This window comes from Homo sapiens, chromosome 3, assembly GCF_000001405.40.
Source record: "Homo sapiens chromosome 3, GRCh38.p14 Primary Assembly".
In the NCBI taxonomy this organism is placed as follows: Eukaryota; Metazoa; Chordata; class Mammalia; order Primates; family Hominidae; genus Homo; species Homo sapiens.
This window is the reverse complement of record NC_000003.12, coordinates 13,382,027-13,394,792: the sequence shown is the minus strand read 5'-3', so window position 1 is coordinate 13,394,792 and position 12,766 is coordinate 13,382,027. Positions and strand designations below refer to the sequence as shown.

Here is a 12,766-nt window from a genome sequence, read left to right as displayed (position 1 = left end):
GTGCCTTATCTGTATTGATGAATGTCAAGAAAGAGAATTGCTCAACGAACAGTGGCACCCTGGCTGCCCATGGATGCCAGGCAGTAGGTTGTCCCCTTAGTAAGTACAATGTCTTATTGTGCTTATAAATGGTCTCATGCCCACTATATAGATGAGGAAGCTGAGGCTCAGAGAGCTTCAGTAACTTGCCCATGGTCACACAGCTCATGGGTGGCTGAGCAGGGCCTGGGATCCAGGATGTCTGACTCTGTCGCCTGAGCTGTTTCCCGCTGGATGCACTGCCTGTCTCCTACTGCTGCATTTTCCTGGGCATTGGGGGCCCTCCCCACATGGCTGGGATCTGCCCTTTTGGCCAGAAGCCACCTGCAGAGTGCCCGCCTCCAGACAGGGCTCTGTCTGTTGCACATAGTAGGTACTAATAGCTTCTTTTTGCGTGGAAAAAGCAAAACTTTGAGCAGAGGTTTTCACAGCTATTTCCTGGCCCACCCGTGCCTCTTGCATCAGCAGAACTGGACTAGCTCAGGGTATCCAAAGATGCCCCCTCCTCACCTTTCCTTATCCCATCTCTTCTGCCTGGAGCACCTTCCCCTCCTGAACTCTGCTTTCAGAAGCCATGCTTCCTCTGGCATTGCCTCTCAGGTGTCCCCTCCTCCAGGGAGCCCTCCTTGGCTGCCCAAGGTGGGACTTGTTCTTCCCTTCGATGTCCCTCAGTTCTGCAGTGCCCCCTGCCCTGGGATACAAGACATTTTCTACTGTGGCTTGTCAAGGTCAGCACTAGGAAGACATAACTGAAATCAGTTCATTCTTCTGGACTTTTCTGTGCCTGACACTGGACTTTGGGGCCAGCCGGCATTGGGTAAATGTTTGCTAGGTTGAATTGCCTAACATTTTCCTTCAGCTGTCCTGCAGGACAGGGGAGGTAGATCCTCTGGAGACTGGATCCCTGGCTTTCCTGGTTAATATCTAAACTTGGCTGTGAGGCTTCAAGGTCAAGGGCTCCGTTGCACATAGTAGGTACTGATAGCTTCTTTTAGAGTGGAAAAAGCAAAACTTTGGGCACAGATTTATTGAGAGCTTTCCCTTCCCCCTTGCCACCCTTAGGGATGCCCACCTGCAGCAGGCCCTGGAAAGGCAGACACCTGCCTTGACATCCCCAGGGCCCACGCAGCTGGGTCTGGCCATGTTGCCAGCAGCTGGCGGGAGAGAAAGCCAGTGGCCAGCAGCTGGCAGGCCCATGCATGAACGAGGGTCCCTGTGTTCTCATCTGCACGGAGCCCTGCAAATCCTGCACTCGGTCCTGTGTGTGCACCTGCCCGAGCAGGTAACTTACAGAAGCCTAAGGACACTTTCTGCCCTTGAAATTACCACACATTCAACTCTTCTTCCACATTTGAACGTGGTGGACTTCCAGGAGAGACTGTGGGGAGCAAAGATGATGAAAAACAGAGCTCCACGTGCAGCCCCTGAAGTGTCTGCAGGCATGATTCTCTCCCACCGTTTTCCTTGCTAAGAGCCCCTTAGCAGGGCCTCCCCCACCTCCATCCCCTTGTCCATAAGCGGACCGTTGTGAACACTGGACATGTCATGGGGGTGCTTTCTCAATTTGATCTTCCCACCAACCCCATGCGTTGGTATTTTCATCCCCATTTTACAGAAGAGAAAAGCCATGCTTGGAGCTGAGCTGGGTGGAAGCCCCAGGGTAGCTATTCAGGACTCTTGTGGTGTTGGCATGTATTTGTGTTAAGGGAGTGGCCTGCCTAGTGGTCTGCAGTCTTGCGTTTCTGGTTACTGGGTCACACTATTATAGGGACTCCATGCTCCCCTCACTGAGCACACTGTAAAGCTGGCCTGCTGGGCTCTGACTCTGGAAGGCAGGAATTTGGGCCCAGGCTCCCCTCACCGAGCATACTGCAAAGCCGGCCTGCTGGGCTCTTCCCCGAGAAGGTGGAATTGGAGCCCAGGCTCCCCTCACTGAGCACACTGCTAAGCCAACCTGCTGGCTCTGCCCCCGGACAGTGGAACTGGGGCCAGCAGTACTCCATATGCACCCTGTTTCAGCTCAGTGTGCAGAAGAAGGTTCTCACAGTCAGAGCTGTTGAACAGAGGAATAGGCTGTGCTGGGCGATGAGCTCCTCATCCCTGGGGTATGCGGGAAGGGTCTCAAGCCCCCATCTGATGGGGACGCAGCATCCAAGGGTTGGACTAGAGGACTCCTGTCTTGCAGCCGATGTGCTTCGCTGGTGTGGATTTTCATATCCACCATCCTCACCTAATGCCCTGGATGTTAGGAAGACAGATTAATTTTCAGGAAACCATAGAGTTTTCATTTGCTCAAAATCCTGCTCTGGACCTCTAAGAAAAAATCTTCCCGCATATATGTACATCATAGATGGGGGTTGTCTTCCTCTGATCAGTTGCTCACATTGACGGAAAGACACCCAGGGAACTGTAAGAAGATGCCTCTCTTCATTAAAGATGCCCTGAGAAGTAAGGCGAAGGAGCAGAGTTTTCTGGAGCTTCTGCTAGGCACTATTTCATGCAGTCTTTGAGACCTTGCAGGGCCAGGGATCGGGGTGAAGAGAAGCAGGACCCCAGGCCCGTCAGACTCTAAATACCTTGCCCTTTGCACTGTAGAAAACAGCTTTTCTTGGCCCCCAGATCCCTTGTACTGGGAGCTGGTCAGAAGGGGAGTGTGGATGAGGGATGTGGAACAGGCGTGGAACATCAGGGGCTGGTGAGGAGTGTGGCATGGCCCCTTCTAGAGAGGGCGAGCAGCTTCTGGCTCTCAGAGGGAATGAGGCCCAGGTGGGTGGATCTTCATCCTTTCAAGAGGAGGTGAGAACTAGACTTGCATGTGGCATCTGTTTCTTGATTGGAAAGGACAGATCAGAAGGCTCCCAGGCAGCAAGCCAGGACATAAGAGCCAAGGCTGGCTGGGCCTGGCTCTCCTTGCCCCCTACCTACCCCACGACCTCAGGAGTCTCACAGTCAAGGTGAAGAGACAAGAGTCATGTGACACTAGACAGTTTGGGTAATGCCCCTCCACCCTGGGTCCCCTCCCCTGCACAGGGAGGGAGAGGAGTTTACTCCCAGGAAGTGGTGAGCAGGAATGAATGGCCCAGGTTTCCGAGCAGACTCCTAAATTGTAAACCGCTCACAGACGTGCGGGGCAGCAGTGTTATGCACTGCACTGAGCTGGTCCTGCAGTCAAGGGCAGGGAGTCACAGCAGGAAGAGCACAAGCTTTCATCGGACAGCCCTAGGTTCAAATTCTGGCCTCGCCCCCTGGTGGTCACATGACCATGAGTAAGTGTCTTCATTCCTTTCAGCCTCAGTTTCCTCTCCTGACATACAGTTTATGACACCTGCCTGGTGGGTGGTGATGTGGAGTGTGGTTCCTGCATGGGGCAGAAGCTCCCATCACGCCTCCCTCCACCCTGGGAAATTAACTCCATATCTGTCTGCCTCTCCCATCTGCTCTTATAGGGAACACCTTCAGCACTCTGGCTGGACTGGTCTTCGAGTGGACGATTGTGAAGGACTCCGAGGCGGACAGGTTCTCAGACTCCCACAATGCGCTGCGGTAAGGGGTGCCTCTGCTAGGCCTGGCCCCTTTGAAGGGAAGGGGAAAGGGGGACACCTGTGAGCTCCTCACCAGCGGGGGGCTTTCATCTGGGTCATTGAGGAGTCTGGGAGACTCCTAGGATGCCCGTAACATTCCGAGTGTCTGATTGAGGAATGGGATCCACTCACACCATTGTGCGGGAGCCTGGCTGCTTCTGCAGCCCCCAGAGAGTGTCCTGTGAGAAGCTGTCAGAGGCTTGGGATGTCCAGCTGGAGAAATGAGACATGCATGGCTGTCTCAGGGCACAGGGAAAGTGTGGGTGGCCCCAGGCTGCACTTCTGGGGGGCCAGTTAAAGGGCAGCCAGGTTTCGGCTGGGGCACAGGCCAGCTGTGCCGGTGGGTCTCAGGTGGAACAGGCTGAGTCGCCCATATGGCGGTATAGTAAGACCAGTTGTGAGGCGGACACCTTAAGCATCTTGACCTGTGTCATCCTCCTGGCAGCCACATGAGCTTGCGCACCACTGTGCTCTCCATCGAGTAGTTGTGGAGGCTGAGACTTGGAGAGGCCGAGCCGCTTGTCTGAGCTCCGGGAGGACAGAGCTGGAGTCTGAACTCAGATCCGTGGATCTGCACTGTCTCGTGGGAGCCACGGGCCCCAGAGCTATTTACTTGTAGTTAGAAAATGAGCAGTTCAGTTCCTAAGATGCATAAGCCTCCTGTCAATGGCTCACTGCACTGCCACATGTGGGACAGGGCAGGAGCAGAGCCACGCGGGTCCTCTGCCGGTGCTGGTGCAGGTCCCAGGTCTGAGCTTGTATTCCCGACTGTGCCGCCTTCCTCCTGATTTGCCATGTGATTTTTAAAAAGCATGGTCCCTTTTTTAAAGTTGTTTTTGAATCTTTTGAGTCTCCTTTTGCAGCAATTTTAGGCCTGTAGAAAATCTGCCAGTTTAGTCCAAAAAGTGGTCTCCCTCATTCACCTGAGAGCCGGCTGCCAGCCTCATGTCCCGTCACCCTGATGATTTTCATGTGCTTTACGACCATCGGGGCATTGTCCTGCACGGCCACCATGCAGTCATGGCACTAGGAAACGAACACTGTTGCCGGCCGTCTTCAGACCTTACTCGAGTTTGGTCATTTGTCCCAGCTTTATCCTTTTCAGTAAAAAGAAGGATCCCAGCCCCAAGTCACCTGCCGCATGTGTCCTGTTTCTCTTAGTCTCTGTCAGCCTGGGACTGTCTCCCGGGCTTTGACTTTGGACACCACAACGCTTGTGAAGAGGACAGTCTAGTTATCTGTAGAGTGGCCCTTGTTTTGGGTTTGTCTGCTGTTCCCTCACGGCCAGGGTCCGAACGTTGTGTCTTTGGCAGGAACATCACAGAAGTGAGACTCCGCTCTTCCACTTGCCTCTGCGCTTTCTCACCCCTATATAATTATAAGTCCTTTGTCAGGGAGTTTACTGTCTGGTCTTTCATTATGCCATTAAAGTCCTGCTCTGGGCTGTAGGGGATGTTGGGGATGTGGTGGTTCCTCTGTCACAGCCTTCTCCAGGGCTCAGCTTACAGCAACTCCAGGCCGACGTCCTCATGTCCTGACGCCTTTGTGAGCCGAGTTGCCCTTGTGGAGACAGCCTGCTGGACCAGCTCTGTGGGTTCTGGTGTTTTGTAAAACAATGACCATGGGCCAGAGAGTCAGAGACCTGGATTCCAGTCCTGGCTTTGTCGCTTCCTGCCTGTGTCCTTAGCCAGGGAACGTTACCCACCTGAGCCTCAGCCTCCTGCCCTGGGAAACAGAGCTGGAGGGAATCCCGTGCCTGCCTCTGAGGGCCACTGTACAGCTCAGTGGGTTGATCCACTCAGGGCCCCTCTCTGGGCCTGGCACACGCTGGATGTTGAGGGGATGCTGAATCCCTGTCCCCTTCTGACAATACCCCATTCCCCACCCCTTGAGCTTCCAGGCAGCTAGCTCTGCACCTGAGCCAAATGCTAACAGAAATCCCAGATGCCAAGGCGGGTTGGAGCTGGATTGTCCTGGATTTGTAATTTGGCGTGTGACACCTAGAGTAACCAGGCGAGGAAATAAATCACAGTGCGGCCCAGCATTGGCAGATTGCTCTTGTGCAGGGGAACAGTGGGCTCGTTTGTAAATGCAGGCTGAAGTGGGAGGCTGCGTGGGAAGGATCCCTGAAGTCCGCCTGCCCAGCAGCCCACACTCCAGGCTACACCACGTCCCCGACATCTCCCCAAGCTGGGATCCAGGGAGAGTGAGACATGGTGCCGTCTGGTGCCCAGGGCTAGGGGACCAGTCATGGAGAATCGTTCCCCAGAGCTGGGCGCTAGGCCGGGGAGGTTGGACAGGAGCAGGCAGCCTCGGGGAGGTGAGGGTGCTGCTGGCCCTGCTGTGACTGGGCTGTGCTCTTGGGCCTGCTGCCTCATCTCCCGGGCCTCACTGTTCCCATGTGGACTCAGCAGCTGGTCTCGCATGTTAGTATTTACGTCACGTGTGCGTGTGGATAAAATGCAGATTCCCAGGCATCTTGGAGACAAAGCCTGGGCCAGGGGCCAAGTATCTGCATTTTTCACAAGGACTTTGGCAGTTCTGATGTAGGAAGCTGCAGGGCCGTGTCTCTAGGCAGCCCCAGCCCTGACTAGGGGGACACCCCTTATTTCAGCATCAGCCCCAGTGGGAGGTACTGATAGGGAATGCTGTGGTAGATTCTGACAAATCTTGTGTTGGGGTTTGATCAACAAACTTTGACAACGTGCTCCTTTTCCAGAATCCTCACTTTCTTGGAGTCTACGTACATCCCTCCTTCTTACATCTCAGAGATGGAGAAGGCTGCCAAGCAAGGGGACACCATCCTGGTGTCTGGGATGAAGACCGGGAGCTCCAAGCTCAAGGCTCGCATCCAGGAGGCTGTCTACAAGGTGGGCCTGGGGCGCTGGGGTGTCAGTGGGCTTCCTGGGGTGGAATCAGGCTGACGGTACCTGCTTATAGGTACCATCACACCTATAGGCACGTTGAATAGTGGAAGTGAGATGCTGTCCCGTGATTTCAGGATGTGGGTTCATATTTTTATGTGTTTGGTTTGGTTTGTTTGAGCCTCAGCTTACAAAGAAAGGTGGTTGAGGCCCCAGAAAGCATCTCTAGGGGTGCATAGCATTTGCTCATTCTTAGTTTCTAGGGAGGTCCAAGAGCAGGAGGTTTCCAGTAACTCACCTGTTTCCAACTGGTGCCCCCACCGTGCTGGTATAGGGACACTCCCAAGCACTTGGGGCTTTGACAAAACCTGGGGCTCCTGGGTGTCTTCTATGCTGTCTCTCCTTGGGCCCCCATTGGAGCCCTGAGACTGGTGGCCCAGGGATCCTATGTGTAGATCACCTCAACCCCCTGCCCCAGCCGATCCCATGTCTTCCTGGCCTCACCAGCATCCCATTCTTAGGGTAGTGGGGGTATGCCAGAGGAAAGGAGAGTGAGGAGTGGGTCTATCCAACGTCCTGGTTCCTTCTCTGTCCCTGTGGACTAATGTCCACCCAACCAGTGCCTCGTTTTGAGCTGCAACCCTGAGATATTTTTGTTTGCCTAGTGTCTGGAGCACAGGCAGGAACACTGTGGTACTTGGCCTGCCATTTAATTTTGTAAAGTGGCAGACGGAGAAATCCTCTTCTGATTCACTCTCTGTAGTGGGTTTGCTGCATCTGGGAGTCCTGGAAAGTTATGGAAACATGGGGACATGCCCTGTTATAGGGGCTAATCCCGTAGGACTCTGCAGGTAGTACTTAGAGACAGTTTGCTCCTGTGTAGGGCCCAGGCTGGGATGGGGTACAGCCACACTGCTAAGCTGGAAAGGCAGACTTGCTGTCCTGCCCATAGACATTCAGTGGCCCTCCCTGCCTGCGTGCTGGAAAGCAGCCGCCACAGAGCCCTGCCCATGGTGGTGCCCAATACACTTGTCTGTTTTGGACACACTGAAGATATTAACTAGTTGTTAAGTGAGGAAAGCTGTCAGTTGTGACAGCAGGCTTAAAGGAGAATCCAAAGAGTTGCCACAGGACACCAGGCATGCTGAACTGAACTCAGAAAAATGTAGAATGCCCACACCCACAGGAGGGCAGTCAGCTGCGCCTTCACCTGAGGAAATGTTTTTGTGTTTCTGTGGACAAGAATCATTTGCTGTGTTGTCGCTTTTCTACAATGTACACTGCCATCAAACAGGCCAAAGACAATGAAAGGTGCAGGCCTCTGGAGAATCCAGTACCTAAGGGTGCACTAGACAGGGCACCTAGTGATCTTTCTCCCATTGCGAAGTTGCCCACGGGTTTTCCTGAGGAGGCAGGAGGTCACAGGTCGGGGGTGAAAGGCGGGCAGGGGAAGGGGTCAAGGAATAGCAGCCAAGGCTCATCACAGCATATGCCTCTCCTGCTTTTTATGTTGGCCTGGGGCTTCTCAAGTTCCCTGGACCTTGGGCTTTTGTGTGGAGAGAACTTGAGCTCCCGGTGGCCATAGCATCCCTAGAGTTCACCCTGGCTCTCCTCTTTTACTCCAGTTTAATCATGGTTTCACATAGAGATAAACCATGCACAATGGGCAGTCAGTGTGAGGGCTCAGTCTGGGTAATGCCCTTTTTCTGGGTGCCTGCTATACTTATGGAGCTCCCCTGGGACCTCTGGGTTCTGAAAGTGAGGATTTGGGAATGATATCTTGTTTCTTTCCTCTTAACTTCCCTATTCCCATGTTTAAAACATCTCTTTCTCTTGCTCACACCACCACTTCCCCATTCCCTGTCCGCACCTCACTTTGTCTGCCTTTTCTTTATGCCAAGAATGTACGCCCTGCAGAAGTCAGGCTGCTGATTTTGGAAAACATCCTTCTGAACCCGGCCTATGACGTCTACCTGATGGTGGGAACCTCCATTCACTACAAGGTGCAGAAGATCAGGCAAGGGAAAATTACAGGTGTGTCATTGGCTCTGCCATCATGACAGATGCTTCCTTCCTCCTTTTTTTATTGTGGTTACATACATGTAACAAAATTTACCATCTTAACCATTTTTAAGTGCTCCATCAGGTAGCATCAAGTACATTCACACTCTTCTGCAGCCATCACCATCATCCATCCACAGAACTCGTTCATCTTCCCAAACTGAAGCTCTGCATTGTTAAACACTAACTCCCCTTCACCCTCTCCCAGCCCTTGGCACTCATCACTCTATTTCCTGTCTCTGTGAATGTGACTACTCTGGTTACCTCATGTACGTGGAATCATATAGTATTTATTTTTTTGTAACTGGCTTATATCACTTTTTTCCTAGCCTGATGTCTTCAAGTTTCATCCATGTTGTAGCAAGGGTTGGAATTCCCTTCCCTTTTAAGGCTGAATAGTGCTCCATTGTGTGGATGGATAGACCACATTCTGTTTACCCATTCATCTACCCATTCATCCATCAGCAGACACTTGGGTTGCTTCCACTTTTTGGCCATTGTGAGTAATGCTGCTGTGAACATAGTGAGCAAATATCTGAGTCCCTGCTTTCAAATTCTTTGGGGTATATGCCCTTTCAGTGGCAGCAAGTCCAGAGCTGTGGGCTTTGTGTTTAGCTGGGCTTTGCCCCGGTCTGCAACTGACAACTGAACAAACTTGGACAAGCCACTGCCCTTCTCCAGGGCTGTTTCTCATTGGAGGCTTTGAGGCCTTTCTGCCTGGGCTGTGAGGACAAAATGAATCAATAGGAGTGTAGTTGTACTGTGTACTTGTGTTTAGATAGTGACGGTTCTCAATGGAGCGCCAGTCCTCCTAAGGATCATTATCATTTTGTTCAAAGCTGTGTATGTTTAACATCCAGAGCATAGGACCTGAAGGGTCATGGGCATAAGAGCTCTCAGGTCCAGTCCATCCGAGGGCCTCAGTCAGGTGAGTTTGCCAGGTTGGTAGGTTGGTTCCACCTGTGATACAGGGTGTCACTTAAGAGGCAGGCAGATACACACTTCAGCATAAGAGCAACTTGAGTGGTGTCTCCAGTTGATGGGAGGTGCTGCATTGTTTAAAGTCCTGCTCAACTGAGAGCAGTCACCTGGTTGGTCATTCCTGTGTGGCAGAACGCTTTCTCTCAGGAGGACAAAAAAACTGAAGACAGGCGCTCCTGCCTTTGGGCCCAGTTCTTTCTGGCAAGGGGGTCCTAGTTGAAGAGAAGCAAACTCATGTTTCTTGATTCTGGGCAAGCAGCATCTGCCCTTCAGCAGGATGTCAAGTCAACAGGAGGATGGCCTGCAGTAGGATTTGTAGGAAGCCAAGCGTGGGTGTCCTGGTCAGAGCCCGATGTTTACCTGACTTCAGGGAGGCAGATTCTAGGACAGGGACAGTCCAAGATGTGGCTTTCTGAGACTCTGAAAGGGGAGGAGGCTCCAAGATAGAGTTCTGAGGACAGCAGCCTAAGGAAGAATGCAAAGGGGAAGCGTGTTGAAAGGCCAGAGGGCACAAACAGGAGGTCTCAGAAATATAAAATTATCCATGAACACTGATCAAGAAATGGCACTGCGGCCTGAAGGAAGACGCTTGGAGAGCCTAGTCACTGCTGACAGCACCTAACCATGACTGAACATTTCCTCAGTGTTGGGCAGTTGTAAGTGCTTTTCTTTTTAAAGTTACTTTATTTTATTTTTTAGAGACTTGGTCTTGCTATGTTGACCAGTCTGATCTCAAACTGCTGGCCTCAAGCCATCCTCCTGCCTCATTTCTTCTGAGTAGCTGGGACTACAGTTGTGTACCTGGATATAACCCAACAGCTCTATGAGGTAGATTTCATTAATACCCTGTTTCATACATGAGGAAAACTGAGGCATAGAAGACCTGAAGCTCACAAAACTGTTGGACTCCTTGGCCTTAATCACCCCTGTAGGATCAATTGGAATTTCCCTCTGCCGCTTCTCCCCAAAGGAAACCCAGAAAAAAGCTAATTATAACAACAGGGCCGGCCGGGCGTGGTGGCTCACGCCCATAATCCCAGCACTTTGGGAGGCTGAGGCGGGCGGATCACGAGGTCAGGGGTTCGAGACCAGCCTGACCAACATGGTGAAACCCCGCCTCTACTAAAAATACAAAAATTGGCCAGGTGTGGTGGCGCACGCCTGTAATCCCAGCTACTCAAGAGGCTGAGACAGGAGAATCACTTGAACCCAGGAGGTGGAGGTTGCAGTGAGCCGAGATTGCGCCATTGCACTCCAGCCTGGGTGACAGAGCGAGACTGTCTCAAAACAAACAAACAAAAACAGGGCCTTACAGTCTCCCAGGGCAGCGGTGAGGTGGTCCATTTGCATGGGACTCATGGGGCATGAAACTGCCCCAGCTGGGCAAGCAGAGCCCATGTAGTTAAGAGGGGATGGGCTGACTTTAGAAAGAGCTCACTCGGCCAGGCACGGTGGCTCACACCTGTAATCCCAGCATTTTGGGAGGCCGAGGCGGGCGGATCATGAGGTCAGGAAATCGAGACCATCCTGGCTAACATGGTGAAACCCTGTCTCTACTAAAAATACAGAAAAAAATTAGCTGGGCATGGTGGCACACACCTGTAGTCCCAGCTACTCAGGAGGCTGAGGCAGGAGAATTGCTTGAACCCGGGAGGCAGAGGATGTTGCAGTAGCTGAGATCGCACCACTGCACTCCAGCCTGGGCGACAGAGTGAGACTCTGTCTCAAAAAAAAAAAAAAAAAAAAAAAAGAGCTCACTCTAAATTAGCTCAGGTATCACAGCCCAGAGGAACTGCACCTCCCAAGGTACCTAGAAAACTTACGAGCTTGGTCACTGACCTTCCTGCCACAGACATCAAGGAATTGGAGCACATGAAAGATGCCCTGGGACAGGAAAGGAAAGAGGCAGGGCCCACCTCCCTTTCATCATGTCATGAGATGTGAAAGTACTCCAAAAATACACACTCCTGTGCGATTGATGGCACTGGATGCTACTGCAGTAGATTCCAGATGGATGTTTTGGCAAAACTGAGAGGGGCCGAGCTAGCAAAACTTCACTGTGAACAAGACACACCAATGGAAACTCCTAAGTCTTTTAGATGAATTATTTTGGGGTTTTTTTGAGAGAGAGTCTTGCTTTGTCACCCATGTTGGGAGTGCAGTATCATGATCATGGCTCACAGCAGCTTTGACCTCCCAGGCTCAAGTGATCCTCTCACCTCACACCCCTGAGTAGCTGGGACCACAGGCACACACCACATGCCTGGCTAATTTTTTTTTTTTAATAGAGATGCGGTCTCTCTGTGTTGTCCAGGCTGGTCTCAGACTCCTGGGCTCAAGTTATCCCTCCTACCTCAGCTTCCCAAAGTGCTGGAATAATAGGCATGAGTTGCCATGCTCAGCCTAGCTGGATTGTTTTTTCATTGAGGTATAATTCACATGACTATATTGGTTTTTGCAGGTTTGCTAGACAGAAAAGTCAGGGAATGGTGTCTTCATAGGGGACCTGAATTTCAGCAAATCCCTGTCTTGCCCGGCATCCTGTGGAAGCCTCAGAGCATTCTGCGTTGGATGACAGTTACATGGGCTCATTAACATGCGATAATTATAACTGCAGATTAACTCTTTATATTTTCTTTTCTGTTGGGTTTCCTTCCTTACAGTAATTTTTTCTTCTTTGGTATTTTTATTTCCTTTATGTCTGCCTCTCTTCTTTTTTTTGGCTCCTCCCTTTCTTGCAAATACATTTCCTGAGCATCTGCTCTGTGCCAGCCCTTTGCTAAGTGCTGGGTGCACAGTGGTCAGCAGGACTGCCCGGTTCCTGCCCTCCTGGAGCTCACAGCCTAGCAGAGGTGGAGCACAGTCAGTCACATCATGTCTGCAAGTGAGGCCTGTGAGTGGAGGAGACAGGCTCCTGAGGCTTATAGCAGGGCATCTGTATTGCTTATAGGATGGGCTTCCAGTGGGAGCCGTGGTCTCCATCTCCAGTCCTTAGTGCTAAGTCCTGTTGGTGTTTGGATTGGTTGCAGACATGACTGCCACTGTGATCAAGTTGTTAGATGTAATAAAAATGTGGGAAGGGCATGCTGGCTGATCGAATCAGTATCTGAAGAGAACTTGAGTGGATAGAATGCTGGAATTACTGAAATAAAATGTACTAGGTTTGCAAAACCAATAGCATGCACATGTGTTGGGCTGAGGTTCATGTGTCAGAGACTCAGTTGTAGAAGGAACTTTGAA

The 12,766-nt window shown here is 51.7% G+C and overlaps 1 protein-coding gene across 5 annotated transcripts in view, besides 2 other annotated features; it reads left to right on the top strand.

The window, feature by feature from the left end:
• NUP210 (nucleoporin 210) overlaps positions 1-12,766 on the top strand; it is a 104,088-nt gene that overhangs the window by 25,530 nt on the left and 65,792 nt on the right. For all 5 annotated transcript variants that reach the window (XR_007095651.1, NM_024923.4, XM_011533538.3 and 2 more), the window contains exons 4-6: positions 3,486-3,582; positions 6,340-6,490; positions 8,386-8,518. Coding sequence is in view for 4 of the 5 variants with exons in the window: in NM_024923.4 (NP_079199.2) it covers positions 3,486-3,582; positions 6,340-6,490; positions 8,386-8,518 (381 nt within the window). In the remaining variant the exon portion in view is untranslated. The remainder of the gene's footprint in view (positions 1-3,485; positions 3,583-6,339; positions 6,491-8,385; positions 8,519-12,766) is intronic.
• Positions 3,397-3,955: an enhancer, noted in NCBI's record as "H3K27ac-H3K4me1 hESC enhancer chr3:13432338-13432896 (GRCh37/hg19 assembly coordinates)". NCBI's record gives its function as "activates a minimal SCP1, AML or CMV promoter by ChIP-STARR-seq in primed H9 embryonic stem cells {active_cell/tissue: H9 hESC(primed)}" and the evidence as "EXISTENCE:reporter gene assay evidence [ECO:0000049][PMID:30033119]".
• Positions 5,759-6,259: an enhancer, noted in NCBI's record as "H3K27ac hESC enhancer chr3:13430034-13430534 (GRCh37/hg19 assembly coordinates)". NCBI's record gives its function as "activates a minimal SCP1, AML or CMV promoter by ChIP-STARR-seq in primed H9 embryonic stem cells {active_cell/tissue: H9 hESC(primed)}" and the evidence as "EXISTENCE:reporter gene assay evidence [ECO:0000049][PMID:30033119]".